Genomic DNA, 25,723 nt, shown 5'->3' on the forward strand with positions numbered 1-25,723 from the left:
CACACATATATATATGTATGTAACAGGCAATAATTGTTCGTGATTTAGTGATAGTAGGAACTCAGTATTTATTCATTGATCAATTAATAGTTTGAACACATTCTATATTTAGAGCATTAGATGAGTCAAGTGCTACTTTCTTTTTTAAAAAAATGTTAGAACCAGCTGGACGCAGTGGCTCACGCCTGTAATCCCAACACTTTGGGAGGCTGAGGCAGGTGGATCACGAGGTCAGGAGATCAAGACCATCCTGGCTAACACAGAGAAACCCCGTCTCTACTAAAAATACAAAAAATTAGCCAGGCGTGATGGCAGGTGCCTGTGATCCCAGCTACTTGGGATGCTGAGGCAGGATAACGGTGTGAACTCGGGAGGCGGAGCTTGCAGTGAGCTGAGATCGCGCCACTGCACTCCAGCCTGGGCTACACAGGCAGACTCCGTCTCAAAAAAAAAAAAAAAAAAATGTTAGAACCATTCAACTAGCATTCTGTAGACCAAATTATCTAAACAGTAGCTCTCCTCTTCCTTTTTCTGCCATGTTATCCATAAGATTTGGCCTGTATCACCTTATAATAAATGAAGAGAGTCTTAAATTCTTATAATACCAAACTCCTTTGGAGAGAATTCAGAATAGATTTATGTCATCTCAAATTCTATCCTATTCCAGTTAATGTTACAGACAGATTCTAGTATACTTTACAAAGATAGGTGAATAAGTAGAGTTTTGAAAAGATACAGACATAAAAGTGAAGAACAGATGCCTTCTGATGCTAGATTTTCCAAAACTCCTACTGTTATGCTTATATAGAAATCATTCTCAGACCTTCCTTGGATTAATTTCTGTTCCTAGAGCAAACTGGTAGTTATTTCTTTCTTTAATAGAACATGAACTTGTCCATCACATCCTAGAAAGTTAGTCCTAGGGATATCCTTTAAAGCCTAAAGGAGTAAATTAAGAGCAAAAAAAGGAAGTAGACCTTGCAACAGGTGGTGAGTGTCTGAGATATAGCACTAGGAGAGAAATAATATAGATTGAAAACAGAAATCCTTAAACATTTCTCATATAAACCCATGAAAGATAGATCCATAAATATTGTGGGGACTATGGGGACTAGGAAGCTTGGAAGTATCCCTAATCTAGATAGTGATGGTAGGCTAAATATCTACGGCTTCCGTAAACGTTCCTCTAAACCTCCCTGTAAAAAACACACTAAGCTGATTGTGTAATGAGCTGATCCAGTACAATTGCCTCCAATTTCATTCTGGACCCTGAACAGGAGGGGACATCGTGACAAAGCAAATTGTCTGGTATCATGAATTTGGAACACCGTAAGTGATCTTTACTGAGGGTTACATTCTGTCATTGTCAGCCTTTTAAGGAGGCCTTGCCACCAGCGCAGGGGAGGTGAAGTCTAAGGGAAGGTAATATTGTCAATGCCTGCTAATTAGTTCTACCCTGGAGATTTTAACTTTCTGCGAAGTTTTTAAAAACAACTTCCAAAACTCTGCTGATCCTGAAATGTTCGAGAATTCAGAGTTCCTAGACAATGGCTACTGTCCCCCTTCCCACTGATTAGGGGAGTTGGCATTTCAGGAACCAGAGTTTCTAAGGGCGCCAAATAGAAGGGCTCAAAGGGAATCAGCAGGCGATGGTTACTGTGGGCGGGTAAATCAGGTGATTTAGAGGAGGGGTTTGGCGAGGTTGGGGTCGGGCTTTAAACGTGGGAGGGCTAATTAACAGGAGATTAACTGGAGAGGGGCGGTGCCTGCGTCCGGCCCGCGCGGCCACAGTCCCTGCATTGCGCGCGACCCGGCGGCGGGACAGGCTTGCTGCTTCCTCCTCCTCGGCCTCACCGTGCGTACTGGGAGGGGAGAAGGGGACCGCATGCAAAGGGTGGCAGGCAGGGAGGGCCAGGGTGGGTGGCAGATGGAAGACTTGGGGGGGTCTCTGCCAGCTGGAAGTGCTTGGCTCCACTTAGCAGCTAAACTTAGCTTTTCAATCGATCGCTTTTGAAAGGGAATTGTATTTCTGTCCCCGTGCGGGTAAGTTTTCCCATTTCTCAAACTCCAGGAATGAAACGAGAGAGTCTTTTCATGCTTGAGTGATGATTTCCAAACTTAGCCTTTTCAAGTCAAAGTAACCTCCTGTTTGAAAGGGTCCCTTGAACTCTGGGGAAGGAGGAAAAGGCACGTGTAGTAATGGAGGAAATGCCTGTAGTTTGAACGACTGCTGTTCTCCCCAAGAGTGCAAAAGCCTGCGATGTCTCAGGTTTCATGGGCATAGTGGCCTTTATGCCTATTGTAAGGCAGGATTTGCTCTTCTGAGTTCACTTTGATAGGAGAAACATCAGCAAGTTTTAAAATAATACTAAATAATACTACTGCTAATAATGCTAGCTATCGAAACAAGAGGATGTGGGTTAGATGATAATATTTTTGTGTGATATTATAGCCAGTGACAAGAGAGCTAAGGGTGAGCCCCTTGGGACGGTTCTCACCTGTGCCCCACTTCCCCAGTCTGGAGGAGGAAGCCATGTGGAAGGAGAAAAGGAGAAGGGAACTCTCTTTTTCGGGAATTAAGGTGTCATATATTGCTCTAGCTGGCTTGGGACAGAGGAGAGAGGAGTGCATGTAAATCTTCTAGTCTCTCTGCTTCTCTTGAAATGTGGCAGTCTGAGCTCCACGTTTATATTCCCCTATTTCTTCTCCCTAATTTCTTACCCAGTGAGTGCTGAGTGGGTGCCCGCAAGCATTGCTGTATAGCACCCAGGCCTCCAGTGAGCAATCCTTAAAGCCCAGTTTTCCTGGGGTCCCAGCCTGCTGTGAGTCCCAGCCTACACCTACCTTTTGCATATGCTTTTCTTGGCCTTAGGATAGTACTGGACTTTGTTGTCCTCTGCTGTTTCCAAAATAAGAGGGCTATGTGTGCGATTATCTTTGGTAATTAAAAAAAAAAAAAAAAAAAAGGCAAATCAGTCCAAATTTGGATATTACCCTCTCTGGCAGACGAGTAAAATTTTTCTACCGCTTTGTTTTAGAGTGGTGTCTATGAATCCCTGAGATTGGAAAAGGAGGTCAGGTCAGCACAGAGAAAGGCCTTACCCCACCACTCTCCCGAGAGGCACCAGCATTTCACCTGCAGCCTCTGGGCTCTGAACCCCACTTTGCATGAGACCACATAGTGGGCTGAGTCTGCAGCCACCACGATGCCTTCAGGAAATGCTAGAATTCATCTAGAGTTCCAGATTAACGTATCCGCAACATGGCCACCGAATTATCTTTTTTCTTTATCTCATGTGTAGTGTTTGTTAGTTTTAGAAGGTACAAAATTGCAGAGTCATGGCCCTGGGGATGCGTGCCCAGATTATTCATGTGTTTCACAATATTGATGCAGAAAGGCTGGCCACCTCATCCTGAGAAGAGAACTTTGCTCATTTTGGCCAAAAGCCTGTAAAGGGAAAGGGCGTTCCTCAACTGAGAAGTGAAGATTCTTCTCTGCTAGATAGTACGGGGGTTTGGGGGGAGGGGTAGAAAACAGGAATGAGATTTGACAAGGAAAGGCCTCCAGAAGACCAGAGCTGTTGAGAATTCTTAGCCTTGATGGTGGGTAGCCCAGAGGTAAACACTTGAGAAAACTAAGTTGCAGTCTTGGTCTCTCCACTGTGAATTTGGGTCATATTACTCACTACTTTTCTGGGCCTTAATTTCCTTACATACTAAAGGTAGAAAAAAATATTATTTGCTCTACCTCAGGATTTTTCGGGTCAAGCGAGATAAAATATGCAAAAGCTTTTTGAAAATTCTAAAATCCTCAGTGCCTAGAACAGCGCCAAAGTCGGAAGTTTTTTATTTACCAAACACACAGCATTTAACAGGTCCCAGAGCTTCTTTTTTTTTTTTTTTTTTTGAGACGGGGTCTCGCACTGTCACCCAGGCTGGAGTGCAGTGGCACGATCTCAGCTCACTGCAAACTCCGCTTCCCGGGTTCACGCCATTCTCCTGCCTCAGCCTCCCGAGTAGCTGGGACTACAGGCACCTGCCACCACGCCCAGCTAATTTTTTGTATTTTTAATAGAGACGGGGTTTCACCATGTTAGCCAGGATGGTCTCGATCTCCTGACCTCGTGATCTGCCCGCCTCCGGCTCCCAAAGTGCTGGGATTACAGGCATGAGCCACCGCGCTCGGCCCCCGCTTTTCTAACTTTATTCAGCTAAGGCTCACAAGAATCCAGTGAAATGGGAGTTCTTATTCAACTCCTTTCACAGGTAAGGTGAAGAGGTCCCAGAGAAGTTAAGTTACACTTACTAAGTGGCAGGGTCGAGATCCACCCGAATGCCAATCTAGTTCCAGAGTTTTGAATACTTGACACTCTACCCCATGTCCTCTTATGAAGAAGTCACCTCCACATTAGGGGACAGAGCTCTGGTCTCTGGCAAGAGAGGTTGAGATACTTATTACCATGCTGGCCAATGAATGGAGAATATAATGAGCAAACAAACCACTGTGCAAACATGATTGATCATTGTAAATATTTTCTATAATTCATAACCAAATTAGTGTTTTTCCCTGCTTACTTTTCTTTGATTATTTCTCCTTCATTCCTTGAATCCTCAAACCACTTAACATTTCATCCTGTTATTTATTATTATACAGGACCACTCTTCTCCCTCCTGACAACCTTTCCTGGTAAAAGGCTTTCAGTAATTTTGTTGTGGCTGCAGAGCCAACCATGATAATGGCTGCAGTTTTGTGCAGCAAACTCGTGGCAATTGATTGATAAATCAGCTTTGGGGGAAAAAAAGTTTACAACAGCATTGCCTTAATCCATGCTATAAACAACTACTATTTCTTAATGTTCTTACCTTAACTGCTCATTACCTGGCTCTTGGGTACCTGTGAAGGGGAAGATGTTACCCTGGAGAGATGGTTCATTGACTCATCAGGTGTGTGTCAGATGCTTGGTGCTGGCCAGTCTCCCAAACCCACAGACTTGAGGAGTTAAGCCACATTCTTCGTGATTGAGAAACTCTGTGTGAAGTGCACAGTGTGTTGTTCATTTTTAAAGAAAAGGCCTCCCATTGCCCTTTTTCCCAGCCACTGACTTCTTTGTGTACTTTCCTACCAACAGTCCTGGGAGGCTGCCATTTTTTTCTCTACTCTTTCAATACTGATTTTCAATGAGGGGGAAAAAAAAGTTCTCTGGACTTTTGTTCCATCAATACATAAATTTCATTCTGGGAACATTAGTAGAGGCCTATAGAGAATGTTTTAGTTTTAAAATTATTGTTAAGTAGCAACTTTCTATTTGATAAACTTACCTTAATTTTAAAAAACTTCACACGCTTGCTGTATTTCTTCACATCTTTGTACAGAGGCCTGGGACTTAGGGATCCTTTCTTAAGCTAATTACTTTACCTACACTCTGAAGGATAGTGCAGTTTATTCATGACTTTCACCCCTTCAATACTAGAACAAGCAGACACATTAAATGTTACCAAAAATATTATATTGCACTGAGAGCTAATCTAACATACTGTGCTTTCAAGACTAGAGACTTATGGAGGTTGATTAATTTGCTATCTAGGGGATTTTTTAAAAACCTTGCGCATGTAGTTTCTGTTTGCCTAAATCCAAGCTGTATATTTTTAGCCTAAGAAAACAAAAATAGGGGGGCCAGGCATGGTGGCTCATGCCTGTAATCCTAGCAGTTTGGGAGGCTGAGGCGGGTGGATCACCTGAGGTCAGGAGTTTAAGACCAGCCTGACAAATATGGTGAAACCCCGTCTTTACTAAAAATACAAAAATTAGCCAGGTGTGGTGGCGGGCACCTGTAATCCCAGCTACTCGGGAGGCTGAGGCAGGAGAATGGCTTGAACCCAGGAGGCAGAGGTTGCAGTGAGCCAAGATTGCACCACTGCACTGCAGCCTGGGCGACAGAGTGAGACTCCATCTCAAAAAAAGAAAAGAAAAGGAAACAAAAATAGGGGTTACTTAGGTAGCTTTGATTTCTTTATCTGCAAAATGGGAATTTTAATACCTCACCACATAACTGGAAAAAGAAAGAAGATGACAGATATAAGGGGTGCCTACTTGTGCCAGCCACAGAGTAGGCATTCACTTAATGTCAATTGAATTAGAATTAAGCAGAATTAAAGAGTTGAGAGCAGAATTAATCAAGCCTCTTGAAAGAGAGAGTATAGTGTAGTAACCGTATGGGGTGTTCGTGTCCCAGCTTGGCAGCTTAACAACTCTAATTCCCTTTTTCTTCTTTTGTGAAATGGGTATAGTTATGACAATTGTAATAGATTAACAAAGGTGATGAAAGTAGTGTACATAATGTACATAGTATAGTTGAACACATAGCAAGCTCTAATAAAGCTAAGTATATATGTATGTGGTTTTTAATCACATTCACCAGCAACACAAAGATGGCTATATGACCAATAAAGATACATATAAATGTATAGATTACTGGTAAGATGGATAGAAAGATTGCAGCTGATAGGTGTCAGGCTAATAAGGACACAATGCAGGGGTTGAGCTTTAAAGGCAGGAATGAACATCATCTAGAAGAGACAGTACTACATGCCAAGCAGGATAAATAGCCTCTAAGCTTGGGTCTGAGAAAAGTTGTGTGTGTTCTGTGGAAGAGAGAGAAGTAGATAGCAGGGCTGATAAAAGAACAAGAGGAGGTTACAAAGAATAATGGCAGAGGACTGGAAATGTACATTTTAAGCTTTACCCTAAGTTCCTACCTGTTTTGACTTCAGTATCACCAGTGTGTCTTGGCCTTCCTCTTCAGCACATTCCCAATTATACTTCCAATTCCAGACACAGATAACTACATTCCTCTACTCAACGGCTTTTAGTTGAATGTAACTTTGGAATGTGAAATGACTCAAGGATCATGTAAAGCTAATTCTCCTTCCCTATTACACCCATGAAAGTACCATATATGGTAATTCCTTACCTTGCATTTGCAAGCCTGTTTTTTGATGTTTCCATTATCCTGCTTCTCCTTCTTTACCTGTCTTCGAATTGATGATGATGGTGATCATGATGACAATTGTGATAAGGATATTATAAATTTATTGAGGGTTTTTCTTGGGCCAGTCCATATTTTATCTCCATTACATTAGACAATAACCCATTAAGTTAGAAGCTATTACTATTTCAATTTTTTTTTTTGGAGGGGGAGACAGAGTCTCACTCTGTCACCCAGGCTAGAGTGCAGTGGTGCCATCTTGGCTCACTGCAAGCTCTGCCTCCTGGGTTCATGCTATTCTCCTGCTTCAGCCTCCCAAGCAGCCGGGACTACAGGCGCCTGCCACCACACCCGGCTAATTTTTTGTATTTTTAGTAGAGACGGGGTTTCACTGTGTCAGCCAGGATGGACTTGATCTCTCGACCTCGTGATCCACCCGCCTCGGCCTCCCAAAGTGCTGGGACTACAGGCGTGAGCCACCACACCAGGCCTACTGTTTCGATTTTAAGAATGAAGAAATTTAGTCTCAGAGACTGAATCCCTCAAGCAAGGTTAACAGCTAAATCGTGGGACTGGAATTCAAGTCCTAAAGCCTACAGTTTTGAATACTACTGAAATGACAAGTTGTAAGTTGGGTCTCCAAAGCAGGATACATAAGAACTGAGGCCTTCCTAAGTTCAGTGCTGCTGCTAGGTACATAGCTTGATGTTTCCAAAGAGATCAGTCTATGACCTCTGGTCTTTTGCTTTCAACCTACTTATAGTTAATCTCAGTGCTAGTATGTGATGTTAGTCTATGTTTAGGGCATTTTTGCTATTTATTTTTGCTTATACTGCACCCTTTTTTTTCAAGTAGTACTTGCTTGATGTCTTCAAGCTAAATAATATAGAACTAGATAAAATATAATATTGCATACTTTTTTTTTTTTTTTTTTTTGAGATAGAGTCTCTCTCTGTCGCCCAGGCTACAGTGCAGTGGCGCAATCTTGGCTCATTGCAACCTCCGCCTCCCGGATTTAAGCAATTCTCCTGCCTCAGTCTCACGAGTAGCTGGGATTGCAGGCACACGCCACTGCGTCTGGCTAATTTTTGTATTTTTAGTAGAGATGGGGTTTCACCATGTTGGGCTGGCTGGTCTCAAACTCCCGATCTCAAGTGATCCACCAGCCTCGGCCTCCCAAAGTGCTGGGATTAACAGGTATAAGCCACTGCGTTCAGCCCCTATTTACTTTGACATTTTAAAAACTAAACAATCATTTCTTCTGCAAATAGTCCAAGATATTTTTAAGAACAGTATAATTAATGCTGCAATATAAGAACATCAAATGATCTTCCAGTTATTTTGGGTATTTATGTCTGCTTTTTCCCATTTTATTTAAATCTTTTTAAGATTCCAGACCAAAATTGAAAAAATGGTTGACCTCACCCAGGTAATGGATGATGAAGTATTCATGGCTTTTGCATCCTATGCAACAATTATTCTTTCAAAAATGATGCTTATGAGTACTGCAACTGCATTCTATAGATTGACAAGAAAGGTAAGAAATTTGGAGGTAATATTTTCTTACTTTTAAGAGTTGGAATTCTGGAGAGCAGTTTTCTTAATTTTCTTTTTTTATTTTTGGTAAAGCCCAATAGCACACTGTTTTATGCTGTAAGTGAAGTATGCCATCGTTTGGCACAGATGGATCTGATGTATTTATGGAACAGTTGCTTTCTCCTAGAAACTAGTAAATGGTTTTTTCATTATGGCTTTTACCTTTTTATCATTCTGCTAAGCAGATGAGATATTCTGGAATATCAAAGTTTTCACGGAAACTTTCTTTCATTTTGGAATTAATTTTGCCAATGAGGGTTTAGAAAACAATCATTTTCTAGACAGTTAACTGGTATTTTCAGCTCTAGTGCAGGTCAAGGGTATGATTTTGGTTAAAAAAAAATAGAAAAAAAAAGAAGAAAGAAAAAGAAGAAAAAGGCTGAGAATTAAAGTCTTACTTTCAAAGTGAGCCTCATATATGAGCCTTTTGAATTTTGTGTACTTCTGACTTTTTAAGTGGATACTATTTCTACCCAGCATTATAAGAATGACTTTTTTTTTTTTAAGTGCAGATGTGGGGAGGGTGGTAGACAGATTCTGAAGCACATATTATGTATTCAAGCAGGGTTTATACGTGCTTGAAGCGCGTAGAGCGAGGTTCCCTTTACAAAATTAAAATATTTTCACGGGGGTAGTCCCTGTGCTCATTCAGCAACTTCTTCCTGGAGACCATCTGTTTCTCTCTTAGGACCTGTCCTGAGTTTTGTCCTCTAGAGCCTTGATTTTATCTATAGGTCACAGTCTTCCCTAAGGTGTTTCCTTGTTACTTTTTTTTTTTTTTTTTTTTGTGAGATGGAGTCTCACTCTGTTGCCCAGGCTGGAGTGCAGTGGCAGGATCTCGGCTCACTGCAACCTCTGCCTCCTGGGTTCAAGTGCTTCTCATGCCTCAGCGTCCCAAGTAGCTGAGATTATAGGCACGCACCACCAGGCCCAGTTGATTTTTGTGTTTTTAGTAGAGATGGGGTTTTGCCATGTTGGCCAGGCTGGTCTCAAACTCCTGACCTCAGGTGATCCACCCACCTTGGCCTCCCAAAGTGCTGGGATTACAGGCGTGGGCCTGGCCTACTATTTTGAGGTATAATGGAAGGATGTTTGCATTTTAATGGAGGGAACACCTCTCATGCACTGATGTGTTGCAGCATCAGGGCAACAAAGTGGCTGTCTGCTTCCAGGTCCACACTGACTTCTAGACACAGAATGTCACCAAGGAAATGTACCCTGTCTTAAAAGAAAAGATGAAGGGAATTCAAATTTGGAGAGTGCCGGGAGCCACACGCTTTTTATGTGTGCTTGGTCATGCAGTCATTTTACACACTTGTTAGCATTGTCAGGTGAAATGAGGATTCATCTTTCCATTTTATATAGAGGGGGCAGTTAGAGGTTAAGTAGCTGTCTGAGTCCCTTTGGGCTGCTCTTACAAAATGCCATAGACTGGGTGGCTTAAGCAACAAACATTTGTCTCACAGTTCTGGAGTCTGGTAAGTCTAAAATCAAGATGCCAGCAGATCTGGTGTTCAGTGAGGGCCCAGTTCCTGACTTGCAGATGGCCATCTTCTCATTGTATCCTCACATTGGCAGAGCACAGAGAGAGAGAGAGAGAAGGAAGCAAACTCTCTCCTTTCTCTTCTTATAAAGACTTTAATCTCATTCATGAGGACTCCACTCTCTTCACCTAATTACCTCCCAAAGGCCTCATATCCCAGATACTATCACATCGAAGATTAGGCTTTAACATACAAGTTTTAGGGGGCCACAAACATTCAGTCCTTAGCAATAGCTTATCCAAGGTTACATACAAATAAAGAGTGAAACTGAGATTCAAACTGAAATTGCATTAAACCCAATCTAATGCCCTTTCCATTGTAATACATTTATTTCTTTATTCAACATATATTTATTGTACATCTAGTGTGTGCCAGGCACTTATTTAGGGGAGCACTACGATGAACAAGACAGACAGGCCTGACCTTAGGAACTTTATCTGGAATATTTATTCCAGATAAAGATGTTGAGGAAAACTGATGGGCAGTATCCCAGCCCTGTGCATCGGTTCTCTTCAACATCTTTATCTCTAATATAATGTTCATATCATATTAAGAAAAAATAGAAAACAAATGAGATTAATTTTGCAGTTTGTGTTTTTCTCTGCCATCAATTATTAAATAGTGGCACATGCTTAAATATTTTTTAAATGCAGATTTCAAGTTTCAAGGGATGGGGAAGCTATTTCAAAGAGCATAATAATTGCAGGAAGGAATACATGAATGTGTACTTCTTATTCCTAGGAATGCAATTCAGCTTCTCAAATTTCATTATACAGTATTCTTCAACCCAAAGTTTTATCTGATTTAGAAAAAGAAAAGAGGTACACATGTTCTGACAGAGTACAAGACACCTTTCCCATCCCTTACTCTTTTATGCTTCTTGCCTGTTCTCTAAAACCTTTGGCAGGTAAACATATTACTTTCAGATGAGCCAATCGCTTGGAAATGTTAATACACTTGAGGGAAGGTATGTCAACATCACTGTGAAAAAGATACCAGTGAACCATACTAATAGTCAATGACTTAGAATTATGCCTTTCCCCATATTTGCTTCCTTTTCACTATTTTTATTCACTGGTTTTTGTTCAAGTTCTTATTTATGCTTCTCTTTTTACAACTTTGCATTGTTAATAAAAATTCAGTTTTAACTATAGATGCCTTCTTCTCCTCTTGTGTTTGATTTATTGCTCCAAATGGGCCAACCTGGATGTCTATATTTCTTCCACTAAAATGCAAATAACTTACTAGGTAGAATATCCCCATGTTATTTCTTGGTTTGTTTGTTTTCTTTTTTTTGAGGCAGGGTCTTGCTCTGTCACCCAGACTAGATTGTAGTGGTGCAATCACAGCTCACTGCAGCCTCAACCTCTCGGGCTCAGGTGATCCTCCAACCTCAACCTCCTGAGTAGCTAGGACCACAGGCATGCATGTGGCCCACTACCATGCAAAATTTTTTTTAAAAAAATTTGTAGATATGGGTACTCCCTATGTTGCCCAGGCTGATCTTGAATTCTTGGGCTCAAGCAATCCTGCCTCAGCCTCACAAAGCGCTGGAATTACAGGTGTGAGCTATTGCTCCTGGCCAGTATTTGAAATAAGTTTTTTTTCTTGGTATTTGGATAGGTTTTTGCCAATCCAGAAGACTGTGTAGCATTTGGCAAAGGAGAAAATGCCAAGAAGTATCTTCGAACAGATGACAGAGTAGAACGTGTACGCAGGTAAACCAGTGTCTCTTGAAATTACTTACTTTATGAAACAATTTTGGTCAAGGAGTTCAGTGAAGATGTCTCAGGGTCTTGGAGACTGAGGAAAAAAAGTGAGACCTCTTACCTACTCCACATGACAATTACAGAAAACTGGATGTCTGAAATTGACACACTGCACTTGTATGTGTTGCCAATTTGGCAATACTGTACTTTTATGTGTACTTTCTTGGGGTTAATGACGTTGCTGTATATAGGGATGTATCAAAAGTAATGGCAGGGAGGAGGTAAAATGGGAACAGTAGATTCTTGGAGTTTTATCGTCTTTGTCCATAGGTGAGACTGTCAACTCATGTAAAAGGTTGAAGAATTAGGTATTTTTGCATAAGATTCAAAATAAGAATGTTGACACTCTGGAGGAGTAGGAACCTCTTTCTCTGTCCCTCTCCCCACTGCCATCTCTTTTTAAATATTATGTTTTAATGTACTGGGAATTCAATGAGCAATGAAAAGCAATAAGCCAAGATACGACTGGGGTATGATTGTTCCTATCACCCAGGTAGTGAGCATAGTACCCGTTAGTTTTTCAACCTTTGTCTCCCCTTCTGTACTCCCTCTAATAGTCCCCAAAATCTATTGTTGCTATCTTTGTGTTTATGTACCCAGTGTTTAGTTCCCACTTATAGGTGAGAACTTGTGGTATTTGTTTTTCTTTTCCTGTGTTAATTCATTTAGGGTACTTGCCTACAGCTGCATCCATGTTGCTGCAAAGGACATGATTTCATTCTTTTTTTTTTTTTGAGATGGAGTCTCACTCTGTCACCTAGGCTGGAGTGCAATGGTGTGATCTCGGCTCACTGCAACCTTCTTCTCCTGGGTTCAAACCATTCTCCTGCCTCAGCCTCCTGAGTAGCTGGGACTACAGGCATGTGCCACCACGCCCAGCTAATTTTCTGTATTTTCAGTAGAGGCTGGGTTTCACCATGTTGGCCAGGTTGGTCTCGAACTCCTGACCTCAGGTGATCCACCCACCTTGGCCTCCCAAAGTGCTGGGATTACAGGCGTGAGCCACCGGACCTGGCCAAAATTCATTCCTTTTTTTTTTTTTTTTTTTTTTTTTTTTTACAGCTGTGTAGTATTCCATGGTGTATACGTACCACATTGTCTTTATCCAATTCATATTGATGGACACCTAGGTTGCATTAGCCCTTTTTTGATTCTCTGTGAAAGTCTGAAGCCCCTCCCAAGATTTCTGCAGATTCCCTTATGGCATATCATCTCCAGGTTAACTCTGGATCTGGGTTCCTGCCTCTATGCATGTTTCCATATTCTGCAATTGGTTATGCTGGATGTTAATCCAGCCCTTTCATCAGTTCCCTTCAAAAATGAACTAAAAAAAATGTGGCTAAAAATAGACTTGAGTAAGTGGAAGTGCAGAGGCGTTTACACTGTGGCAGCACAAACATTTTAAGTTGTATGTTATTTCTCTGTCAGACAATGGCCTTCAGCGTCCTCTCTTTGCAGAATATGCCCCGTACCTGTACCTCCTTCACGCAAGCAATGCCCAGTGTTACACCATTTTTGAGGCTCTCCTCTAGCCCCACAGACTCTTCAACCTTTTCAGCACTAAAATTAAAAGTACCTTCTTGCTCATGCAAAACAATTCTACCCCCAAGCTATTCATCAAGCAAGAATGTTTCTCTTCTAAGAAGAAGTCTGTGCAGATACTTAGCACAAAATTTCACCTTCTATCTCACTTAGTTATATACTTCTTAATTCAGCAGCCCTGCTGAGTAAATCAGTGAGTCTTGAGAATGGGTTGTGTCAAGAATATGGATATAAAATAGTTTCAGGACAAAGAATCACTGTGGAAATTTCAAACAGCAGAACAATATCAAAGGAAAAATTATGTGTTAGACGAAAAAAAATAAAAAAAAGTGAGTGAAGCTTAAGTTTTCAAAACCACTGAAGAGACATGAAAACTTTTAAAGCCTTGTCTGGTCCTTTATGCACTTCCCCTTTTAGAGCAGGCAGCCGCCTGCATGATGCTAGTCATGGCCCTGTATTTATAAAATTGCCCAGAACTGGAAAGTGATCAGAAGCAATTAGACCCTCAGTAGTATTAGTAAGACTGAAATGAAAATCCAAGTAAGTCTCCTGTGTGAAAGCGTAACAAAAGATATTTTATTTGGGGATTTTAGATTCCTCCCTACTATTCTTTCCGACCTTCCACCCTTACTCCCTGCCCGTGGGATTGTACTTTTAGAGGAAAACGACGTTATCTAAATTGATCCGCTAGTCAGGTTGCAAATGAATGTTAGAAAGAACAATTGACCCCAGTTCTGTAAAGGTTCCGAGTCCTGGAGGAGGTGCAGCGACTGTGTGCACAGCGCCCCCTGGTGATGAGACACTGGCTTTTCCGCATACTGAGAGAAGAGCGTCTCCAACAGAGCGGAGTTTCCAGTTGTATAATGCTTTTTGAGACAGTACCTGTTTCATCGAAAAAGTGCCTAATAACACACTTTTGGAGACACTTTTCAGAGAGAGCGTTTCCAGCATCTTCCCTTTCCATTTTTAAGTTAGACTTTTTTTTTTCACCTCTCTCGTTACTTCAGTCATTGTAAAGCTGTTACGATTAGCATATTTGAACGGCAGAGCCAGAATGGGGCTACAAATGAAGTGAAAAGTATGCTTTACCGTGTGCAACAATTGTGAAAGTTAATACATACACATATGGAACAATTAACTAAAAACTTAAGGTAATATGTGTTGAAATACCAAGATATGTGACTTAAAGTCAGTTATTTGAGTTCTGGAAAGACAGAAACCAGTGATGGTTAGAAAGCACTTGACATATTTATTTATTTATTTAATACCATCTTAGCTTGTCTAGGAAGCATTCAAGACCATATACATTCAACACAAAAAGATAAAAAGAAAGTTGAAAGGCAAACAGGCCAGCTGGTGAAATACAGGGAGTCATTCAAAAGACAAAATAAAGGCTTGAGTTGGTATTTAGGGACAGGAGAGACATTTAGAATATATTCCCTTTAAAGGTAGAGAATAACCCTTCACTGAGAGTGTTCCATGGAGTCTAAGTGACACTTGCTGGGGACTCTGTCATGAGACTGGAGCATAGGCTAGGGGTTGAACTGGATGATGTCCCTCGTGGCCCCAGTGTATGAACACACATATATGGAGAGATTATTGTGTATGTATCACTGTCATTTCTTCTATTGGGATGCTATCAAAGAGCTTTAAAACTGGGTTCCTGACCCTCAGGGGTTTATAGTGTTCCCCCCCTCCCCGCCCCCAAAAGACCCACATGCATATAGGAATGGGAGAATGATATGAAGCCATGTTCCATTAGTTCCATGGAATATTTCATAAAGGAAGACCTTGAAGAGTATTAGGATTTGAAAGGAGAAAGAGGAGAGAAGTCTCATCAATTTGGGAAAATTCCTTTGTGAGAATGTGAACACATGGCTGGCTATGTGCTGAGGGTGAAGAGCTTTGGCTGAGATGAGGGCGTCAGGAAAAGCCTGCTGTGCAGCTCCTTTTGTAGTTGTTCACAGCCTGACAATCCCCAGAAGCATGTAGCAATGGCAGTCCAGGTCAGGTGGATGCTGGGATCCAAGTAATTCTGATCTGAGGGAAGGAGGCGTGGCTGTGGCCTCAAGAGCACAGAGATGGTGGGAAGGTCCGTCACAGAGCAAATATATGCCAGGGCATGTGTGTCCAAAGGAGAAAGAAGAATGGGAAAATGTAATCATGGGGAAGAAGGGTAATAGACCCAGGTAGAAAGTGGACTCTTAGGAAGACTGATGTCCACCTGGTGATAGATTTTGGCAGCTGTCCATAAATGGCACTAACGTGAAGGAAGCTGCCGCTCCAGGAAGGAGTCTGTCGTTGGAGAAGAGGGGAGGGTTAGGACGGAAGGGTGATAGTGCACTGCAGCAGGTGCTCACAGGGAAAGCTGGGGAACTGTTTGCCTGGAACAGAGTCTCAAAAGAAGTACAAAATACAGCATAAATTGGCATAAGTATGAGGGTCTGTGGAAAACAGGCCTTACTAGCATAGTGAGGAGTGTTATCTTTGAGAACATTTTGAGGGCTGACGAAAGAGAAAGAGAACTCAAAAGGGAGAATAAGATAAAGAGAAAATGAGGCTAGAAAAACATGCAGGAGCTAGAAAGGTAAAGGAACCCCTGCCCCTTGACCTTCCTTCCCTCTACCCTCATGGTCCTCTTACTGTCCTTGACTTTCTTCTCTGCTTTAACATTCCATTCTATTTGTCAACTGCGTAACACAGGCGTAGAAGTGGACATTGTTTTCCAGAGAGTCTCCTTTTTATAGTTTCTTCCTCAACCTTAAAATGTCTGTCCTTTTGGCATGTTGTGAAGGAGAACACTAACGTGCCTAAGATTGGAGGTGACGATATCTCTGTGATGCTGGGGGAGAAATCACAGGGGCAAAACAAATACTCTAGGTGTCATTGACAAAGTGGGCCCTTCTTTAATAGAAAATGGTATTCCTGTCTTTTCTTTCCCATCTCATTCTCAGTAGTACTTGTATTGCTCCATGAAAGAGAGGGCACAGGAACACTCACACCATCCTCTCTTTGCTTTTATTCTGTATTGAAGCCTTTTCAAATCATTACTTAGCTGGGCTGCTGCTGTCCTCTTCATGTCTCTATGTAGTCATCCTCTTTGTGAGACAAGCTTAGAGATAATCTAGGGAAGACAAGACAAAGGAAAGGAGAGGAGGAGAGTGACGATCGTTGAGCAGGCAATATGTAATAATTATATGCTTATTGCTATAGAAGAGAGTAACGTAAAGCAGAAATAGTTTTCATTTTGAAATACATATCAATAGCTGACAAACTATCAAATTCTCCATTTCTAGCCTAGATTCTAAAGCAATTTCTAATTCTGTAGACTTAAGGGAGGTGACATTTTAAAATTAAGTATTTTTAAAAATGTTGCTGGGCATGATGGCTTGCACCTATAAACCCAGTGTTTTGGGAGGCTGAGGCTGGAGGACTGCTTGAGACCAGGTGTTCAAGACCAGCCTGGGCAACATAGCAAGACCCCATCTCTAAAAAGAAAATTTAAAAAATTAGCCAGGCATGGTGGTGAGGCCTGTAGTCCCAGCTACTCATGATGCTGAGACTCAGGAGTTTGAGGCTGCAGTGAGCTATGATTGTACCACTGCACTTCAGCCTGAGCAACAGAGCAAGACCCCCTCTCTAAAAACAACAATAGCAATGACAACAATAATAATAAAAATGTCAAGTCCATAGTAGATGTGTTTTGTATTCGGTCTTAGCCAGAGAAACCCAAGATGCCACGGTTTGGAGCAAAACTGTGGCTAAAACATGCTTTTTGTTTTCTTCTAGCTCTGTTATAAAGAAAACATTTAGGAAATTCTCTCTTTCTCTCTTTCACCTATCCTACTTTTTGTGTGTCCTTTGTAGTTTTGCACCATCATTCCTAACGAATTTATTTGGCATTTGGAAGATAGGTTAGCAAAAATTTTACTATATTTGAAAGGCTAGTTATGTATTCTGTTATTTAGATATAAGAGCATGAGAGTCTTGATATTAAATTGGTAAATTAATTATTGGCAACCTAGTGGTTTGGGTTGGCAAGGATTCTGTCAATAATCATTTGGTAGAGTAGCAGAAGCAAAGGAGGTGTCTTAAGAAAAATCAACACCAAAAGGGTTTTCTTCCTTCGGGAGAAAGAATTTTTATAAAAAGAATCTTGAATTGCTAATTGTTATGAACCTCATAAGAAAAAAGTATTTTTATTTACAAAAATGAAATGAGTTCTATTAGATAGATGTCGTTTTGATATTCTAGGAACTACAAAATGCCTTCTGTGATATTTAAAGATACACTAAAAATAAAAAGAAACAGAAATAATGAGAGATTCTAAATAAAAGTCAAGTGGGCAAGGAAGCAAGACAATTTGAGAGAAAAAAAATAAATCTTACTTTGAAATTTAAGGATCCATTAGTGCTCAGATTTAGTTTTTAGAAGAGAGAGAAAAAAGGATACATATCTAGTATTTTGAAATTAGTGTCTTTAATAGTTATCTTTTTCCACAGAGCCCACCTGAATGACCTTGAAAATATTATTCCATTTCTTGGAATTGGCCTCCTGTATTCCTTGAGTGGTCCCGACCCCTCTACAGCCATCCTGCACTTCAGACTATTTGTCGGAGCACGGATCTACCACACCATTGCATATTTGACACCCCTTCCCCAGCCAAATAGAGCTTTGAGTTTTTTTGTTGGATATGGAGTTACTCTTTCCATGGCTTACAGGTTGCTGAAAAGTAAATTGTACCTGTAAAGAAAATCATACAACTCAGCATCCAGTTGGCTTTTTAAGAATTCTGTACTTCCAATTTATAATGAATACTTTCTTAGATTTTAGGTAGGAGGGGAGCAGAGGAATTATGAACTGGGGTAAACCCATTTTGAATATTAGCATTGCCAATATCCTGTATTCTTGTTTTACATTTGGATTAGAAATTTAACATAGTAATTCTTAAGTCTTTTGTCTGATTTTTAAAGTACTTTCTTATAAATTTGGATCATGTTATGATTTGTAACATTCACACAACACCTCACTTTTGAATCTATAAAAGAATTGCACGTATGAGAAACCTATATTTCAATACTGCTGAAACAGACATGAAATAAAGAATTTAAAGAATGATTTTGTTTGGTTTTATTTTTCCCAACATTTTATTTTCAAAAGTTTCAAACCTAGGGTAAAGTTGAAAAATAGTACAAAGAACCACTCTGTACCCTGCTTAGAATCGCCAGTTGTTAACATTTTGCATATTTGCTTTCCTTCTCTCTCTGTTTTCTTTTTCTCTGAAACATCTGAGAGTAAGTGGCAGATATCATGACATGTCACTCTTTAAAACTTCAGCACGTTTTTCCTATGAACAAGACATTCTCCAAATAACTACAATACCATTATTACACCCAAGACACTTAGTATTAATATACTAATATTTCATATATAGAGTCCTTATTCCAATTTTTTCATGTTTCCCCAGTAATAGTCTTCATAACTACTTTATTTTTGATCCAGGATTCAAAGATCAAACATTGCCTTCTGTTATCATTTCTATTTAGGTTTCACTTAAATGAGAGAGTTCTTTTGCTTTCTTTCTCTTTTGTATAACCTTGACATTTTTTGAAGAGTATAGACAAGTTGTTTTACAGAATGACCCTTAATCTGGATTTGTTTTATCTATGATTTTCTCATTCTTAGATTCAGATTAAACAGTTTTGGTGGTGTGTCCTTCACACTATAAAACATCAACAGGCATATGATATCAGTTTGCCCTGTTATTGGTGATATTAAATTTGATGAATTTAGTAAGGTAGTGTCAACCAAATCTGTCCATTTTAAAGGGATCCTTTTATTTTTATAATCATATGTGGGGTGATAATTTGAGACTGCATATCCTGTCTCCCCACAAACTTTCACTTAATAGATTTAGCACCCATGGTTTCTACATATAACTATGTAGCACGTAAATCACAAATTTAGATTTTTTTGGTCTTAAGTGGAATGTGTACTTAAGTCTTTATAATAAAGGGTAAGCTTTTAAAATATCAGTTTTTTCTTGTATATGCCATCCATCTAATTTATATTAGTTTTTGATTTTCATATCTTTTGATGCATTTTAATTTTAAATATGTATTTCTCAAACAGTACTTTTAATGACATTTGTGAATTGTTCATTTAGATGTGCCACTCAAGAGAAAAGTCACTGTGTTGTATTTTAGGTTTCATAGTTTGAGCAACTCTGAAGTCCATAAACAAAACCTATTAGACAATTGACTACGTAGAATTCCATACAAGTTTCCTTTTACTTCTTTTCCTAATGTTAAAAAGCAGCTTTGCATGCTGTGGATCTTGGCCTTAGGAACGCTTTGTGGTGTAATTGACAGAAAAGACCACGAGCTCAGGAGGGAAAAGTCCGAAACCCATGAGTTGGCTCTGTGTGCATGAACATGCACGCGTGCACGCGCACACACACACACACACACACACACCCTGCTCTGGAGTTGGGCAACTGACTTATGCTGTCTGATCTGCAGTTTCCTCAAACTTTACAAGATTTTTTGAAGGTCATATGCTTTTCTGTATGTGGAGCAATTTGAAAAAAGTATATTCTAAGCCATTAAGTGTTTCCCATGTGTGAATTATCTCAGTAATCTCTCAATCATAAAGATTCAGATAACTGAGTTCCTCCTGGTTTTGGGTCAGGTCTTTGTTGAACCATTATCACGTCTTTCATCGTTTTCTTAAATTTTCTTCTCACTTGGTGATGCTTCTCTGAGTAGAAGCAGAATGGATTGTGGTTATTGTAACAGTTATCCATTTAGCTACTAATATTTGATATTCATTAGTAGACAATTATTAGGGGAAAAGGACGTTTAAATTTTATATTCTCAGAGGTATAGGAACTATGTATATGAGCAGAACACACGTAAGGAAAAGTGCAAAAGTCTAGGGATTACCCAGTTCAGTTTCTAAATTTAAGTATAAGTTGTAAAAACAATTTAGAATAGTTTCTAACTATACTTTTACTCCCAAGAGAAGCTTTAGATACAGGGGGATTTATTAGTGAAACTGCTTTTATGAAGGAAGGTGGATGAAGGGGAAAGCTATTTACTGGTCTAGTCTCTCCTGAAACAAGGATTCCCCACCTGACTACAAGACAGAATTGGCTCTAGAGTGAAGTCTGTGTGCTAAGTGACTTTAACTTGTGATAGGACTCAGGTGGAATGGTACAGCTTGCCTTAACACTATTACTTATGAGGAATAGGATGGGTTTGTTTTCATGTTTCTGCTACTTAATTTGAAAACAAAGATTGTGGTTATCTTTCTATCTGCATGCATATCTGTGTGTACACACACACACACACACACACACACACACACACACATACACACACACATACTACCATCATCGGTTCTAACCATTATGGATGCTTAGTAATTAGATAACATTGTTACTTTTTCAAACACCACCATCTCCCTTCATTCAGGCCTTGTTCTGTCCTCACCTGTCCTAAGGCAACTCCATCACAAGCAGTTCAAGGTCCACTGAAACTGGAAGATATTTATCTGTATCTATTATAGAGTCATCATCTAGGGCAATGATGGGAGTTTTGGGGGCAGGGTTCAGTGACTCTCAAATGAAATTGGAGAGGGGTAGATTTTACCAGAATTACTGTAGCAAGGGCAAACGTACATTTATATAGATATTGAATCTGTATTATACTGGACAAAAGTTTGTATTTTTATATAATACTACATGATGTAGAATCTTCTTAATAGGTGGGACATCTGTAAGATGGAAATGAATACATTGAATTAGAACAATTTTTGAAATATTCTGTGACTCTAAAAATTCTATTTACTCTGGAGGCAGGTGTTGGTCTACTCTTTTCTCCATCTTGGGCATGTTGATGGATGGGGGTAGGTCATGAGATTTTTATGTACACTGAAAGCCTCCGTGGTTTAAACAAGGCTGAGAGATCCTTGTTGAATTAATGTCAAATAGACGAGTCTATTTTGAAGACTGAAAAAATGATTCTTTCAGGGCACAGGAGATCTTAGGCCCAGAAAGGCAGATTCAGAAGAACCTACATGTAAATGAGACTGGAGTGGAAATGAGAATGGCAGGAAATGCATGGAAACAGACTTGTAACTGTCTCATGGCCTGGTCGTCCAAATCCCAGAGGTTAGTCCATTCTCCTGCTTTGGTCAAGCTGCCCTGGAAGCCTCTCTTAGGCTGCTGTTGGTTCTCTCTGCGGGATCACTGCTAAAGATCCCAGAGTCACTCCATGTCCCAGTGTTCTGCACATTGCTGTATGTTGGCTTGTGTGGCCAAACAGCATGTTTGGTGAGTGTGGGTTTAAACCAAACAGAGTTAGAGGAATCAAATATTAAATGGCTTAAGACTAAGACAATCTGACACATCCATCATTCACTTCAAGATGGAGATGATCTCTCTTCAGTGAAACTTAAAACCTCAGTCTATTGGCCACAGCACCCCACATTCAATTCACCTTTACACTTGGAATGACTCTGCAATTGGGACTAGCAAGGCCAAGTCTGATGACACAGGACCCTCACCACTGTGGGTGCTTGGATAGGTATAGTCAATGCTTATCTTTGTATATTTTTTCCTGTTTCTTGGGCTATCCAATCATTCTTCTGACTGATACATTCTCCCTTTCACTACATTAAAACACAAAGAGGCTACTTCTTGGATCTAACCAATCAGGAAGTGACTTGGCATGTCTATGCTGAGTTTAGCTAGGAGGTTAACGATCAAAAGGTAATTGTACAATCTCTGATCCCTAGTTATTAGGGAGACCTCTCAAAACCCCTAAGCACTGCTGACTGCCACCTTCCCGATCTAACATTCAATGATTCTAAGGCCAGAAATTTTGCTAGGCAGTGAGGAGAAGGGCATGGAGTTTCGGACAACCAAAGTGTTAAATTTTAATGCAGTAAGGCCCAGTCCTAGGGAATCCTGATGGGTTCTATAAACCATTCACCTGAGAGCTCTACTTTATAAATAAAGAAACCAAAAAGAAAGTTTTCTGAGTTGCATAGTTGCATCACACTGATTCTTCATGGAGGCAGATGGTGAGAAGTGAGGCAATTTGCCTTGGGAGTCTTTACAATCCATTTAGAAACAGCAGCACAAAAATCCTATGATCATCTCCCCGCTGCCAGCCTGAAATGTCAGCCCTGTGGGAAGCTGCTAGGTGTTCCTGCCATCAGCCAAAGCGGCACCTCTACATTCATACCTTTCAGGGTGCTTTATTCACTATATATTCTATGTAAACTGTTGGATTTGACAAGGAGGAGTTGTCAAAGGCAGATTACTGGGAAGGGCCGTGTTGGGTTGAATTTGGCACCAATCTCTCATACTTGACAGCTCATGTACAAGATTGTGGATGAGCTATAGGACCTGTGAGCCTCCTCAGTCAGCAAGCGCAGGCCCTAAGTCACATTTAATTCAGAAAGCCCTGACAGCCCTGCATAAAATGTGAGCCGTAAAATGGAGAGATAGGAGCTGTGTGCAAGAGTAGACCATTTAAGTTATTGCCTTTTACTGAAGTTTAGGAAAACATGAACCAGGACAATATAGACTCTGATATACCACGAAGAGATCTGTATTAGTAACTTCAAGAAAATAATCCAAATAATCCAAACTTTAAGCCAGACATAATTTTTAATGACCCAAAACTAAGAGGGACATCAGTGGAGAGTTAGAGGTTGCCTAAAGTTCTTAGTCTTTTAGCCTAAGTCATTCGTATCTATACCTATATCTTTATAGAAGCAAAACCACCCAAAATAAAGAGAATAGTGAAGGACTGAAGCAGTGTGGTATAGTGAATAGATCCTGGATTTGAAAAACACCTATATCTGTGTCTTGAGTCTCGAGGCTTTCTGGCTGCCTGAGATAATGACTGAGGCTTTATGCCCCATCCTTAATTCTAAAGTGGCAAAATTAATACTTTACCTACTGTATTAATAGCCACAATAATTCTGCATGATAAGTCATCCTATGACTCAGTGGCTTTGCTAATGGTTCTGTAGGGTTGGGCTGATCTTGACTGGGTTTGCTCATGTGTTTGCTGTAAGTTACAGGGTAGCCAGGCGGTCCTGCTGAATATGTGTCTGGGTTCTCTAAGGAATCTGGAAATTGGCTGAAACTTGGCTGATTCAGAAAGATCTCAACTAGGGTTACTTGGGCAACTCAACTCTCTCCCATGTGTCTTATCCTGTACTACAGTGCTCAGCAAACTATGGACTCTGGGCCAAATACAGCCCATGGGCTGTTTTTATAAATAATGTTTTATTGGAACGCAGCAGTACTTACTTATTTTTATATTTCCTGCAACTGCTTTTGTGTCACAATGGCAGAGTGGCGTAGTTGAATTGTTGCAGTGGAGACCACACGGCTCACAAAACCAAAAATATTTACTCTCTGGTGTTTTACAGAAAGTTTTCTGATTCTTGCTCCAGTAGGTTAGCCTGACTGTGCTATCACAGCATAGGAGCAAGACAGGAAATGGAACTGCATAAATCTCCTTTCAAGAGTCTGCAATCATTACATCCACCAACATGCCCTTGGCCAGAGAAAGTCACAGGGCTGGCCTCAGAACTAAAGTGCTGGGAAATGGACTCAACCCCCTCAGGGAGATGAACCGCAAAGTCACATGGCACAGGGGCATGGATGCACAGAGGGATGAAGATTTAGGCCACTTATACAGTCAATCTATTGCACTTGTCCGCTTTGTTATGCTAGTATGAGTTTCAATTCAGACACATGTAAAAGCATTTTATAAACTTTATGACATTATGCAATTAAAACAGCATTTATTCTAATGTGTCATAATTTTATCAGATTAGTGGTAATCTGTGATATGCTCAGTATGAGAGCAATAGTTACAAACTAAGTAAAAAACACAATACAGGGTTTGTGAACTTGGCCTTCTCCCTCTCATTTGCAATGTGCTGCCTTAGGAAGACAGATGGGACAAGGAACAAATATTTGGACAGCCTTATCGCCTCTATAACTAAGTTGGTTCCCAAACTGTGCCCAGTCTGTTCTCTTGAAATTATAATATGCACCCTGCTCCCAACCAAGTGTTTCATCAAATTTAATCAGTTTCTGATTATTCACATATTAAATGTAGACCAGAGAATATTGCTGGCCCAAATGTAAAATTTTTGTGTTAGTGTTTGCTGAAATAATTGTATATTATCTTCTATGGGTTGTATATTAATCATGAAAATAAAGCTGTGCTAAGTTCTTGTTTGAGCTACCCAATTTATAACTTGATAGTGAAAGGAATATAATTTCCTTTGTAACTCATCTTTCATGACAATACAGTTAGAGTCTGGATCCTAGAATTGATTCTAATAATAGTTTTGCCACTGATACACATGAGAAACCCAGGCAAGTCACCTACTTATGCTCTATTCATTTCTTCACATTTAAAATGAATACATTGAACTAGAACAATTTTTGAAATATTCTGTGACTCTAAAAATTCTATTTACTCTGGAGGCAGGTGTTGGTCTACTCTTTCTCCAGTGATAAAATATGAATATCAAGATGTGGAAATAATTATAGCAGAAAGCTTATAGCCTTTATTAATGAGGTCAAGCTCAATTTGAGTTAAATAGCATTTTGTGGGTTTAATGTCTCAGAATAATAATCTTTAATTTTCTCTGAATCACCAATGTGATGTCACCAAAATGAAATGATTGTTACTTTTCCGAAAAATTCAATAAATGCATTGAATTACCTCCATTTAATAATTTTCTTCTATTAATTCTTCTTCAGACATTGAACATACTATCACTTGAATAGACCAGTAACTTGTGCTAGTAGTTGATGGTGGGACAAATAGAATGCTTGGAAGTAAATGAAACAGGGTTCCTTGGTCTAATCATTATTCTGGGTTCCCAGAATCTTGACTCTATAAATTAGTTAGGTTCTACCTAGTCCAAATGTGTACAGATAAAATAAAAGAAAAATGTTTATTCATTTCTTCATAAAGAAATATTTATTGAAGGACTCATATGTGCCCAGCACTATTCTAGATGCTTGGTATACAACAAGGACCACAGAAAAAGTTTGCATTCCAAAGGAAATTCTTTAACTTAGGGCTTGTAAAGAAAGAAAGATGGTGAAACGACTGAACTCATATTATACCAGAAGTCAGTCAACTATGGTCTGTGGGCCAAATCTGACCTGCCACCTCTTTTTGTATGGCCCACAAGCTAACAATGATCAATGGTTTTTACTAATGAACATTTGCAATCA

General features: G+C 40.0%; 1 protein-coding gene across 35 annotated transcripts in view, besides 3 other annotated features; it reads left to right on the top strand.

Moving 5' to 3' along the window:
* Window positions 880-1,809: an enhancer, noted in NCBI's record as "NANOG-H3K27ac hESC enhancer chr12:16499669-16500598 (GRCh37/hg19 assembly coordinates)". NCBI's record gives its function as "activates a minimal SCP1, AML or CMV promoter by ChIP-STARR-seq in naive H9 embryonic stem cells {active_cell/tissue: H9 hESC(naive)}" and the evidence as "EXISTENCE:reporter gene assay evidence [ECO:0000049][PMID:30033119]".
* MGST1 (microsomal glutathione S-transferase 1) overlaps window positions 1,260-25,723 on the top strand; it is a 246,217-nt gene continuing 221,753 nt past the window's right edge. For 2 of the 35 annotated variants that reach the window (XM_047428856.1, NM_001414362.1), the window contains exons 1-4: window positions 1,790-1,855; window positions 8,376-8,523; window positions 11,750-11,844; window positions 21,470-21,610. In XM_047428856.1, the coding sequence (XP_047284812.1) occupies window positions 8,398-8,523; window positions 11,750-11,844; window positions 21,470-21,610 (362 nt within the window). In that variant the 5' untranslated portion in view covers window positions 1,790-1,855; window positions 8,376-8,397. Of the gene's footprint in view, window positions 1,423-1,789; window positions 1,860-1,922; window positions 2,044-7,561; window positions 7,613-8,375; window positions 8,539-11,749; window positions 11,853-14,444; window positions 14,589-17,923; window positions 18,556-21,469; window positions 25,208-25,723 lie in introns of those variants that run through there. The other 33 variants (XM_047428858.1, NM_001414364.1, NM_001260512.2 and 30 more) reach the window with 33 other exon arrangements.
* Window positions 2,740-3,669: an enhancer, noted in NCBI's record as "H3K27ac-H3K4me1 hESC enhancer chr12:16501529-16502458 (GRCh37/hg19 assembly coordinates)". NCBI's record gives its function as "activates a minimal SCP1, AML or CMV promoter by ChIP-STARR-seq in primed H9 embryonic stem cells {active_cell/tissue: H9 hESC(primed)}" and the evidence as "EXISTENCE:reporter gene assay evidence [ECO:0000049][PMID:30033119]".
* Window positions 14,040-14,334: a silencer, noted in NCBI's record as "tiled region #9686; K562 Repressive DNase unmatched - State 12:CtcfO". NCBI's record gives its function as "represses a minimal TATA promoter and a strong SV40 promoter by Sharpr-MPRA in K562 cells {active_cell/tissue: K562}" and the evidence as "EXISTENCE:reporter gene assay evidence [ECO:0000049][PMID:27701403]".

The sequence above is a fragment of the Homo sapiens genome, chromosome 12 (genome assembly GCF_000001405.40).
Source record: "Homo sapiens chromosome 12, GRCh38.p14 Primary Assembly".
Taxonomy (NCBI): Eukaryota; Metazoa; Chordata; class Mammalia; order Primates; family Hominidae; genus Homo; species Homo sapiens.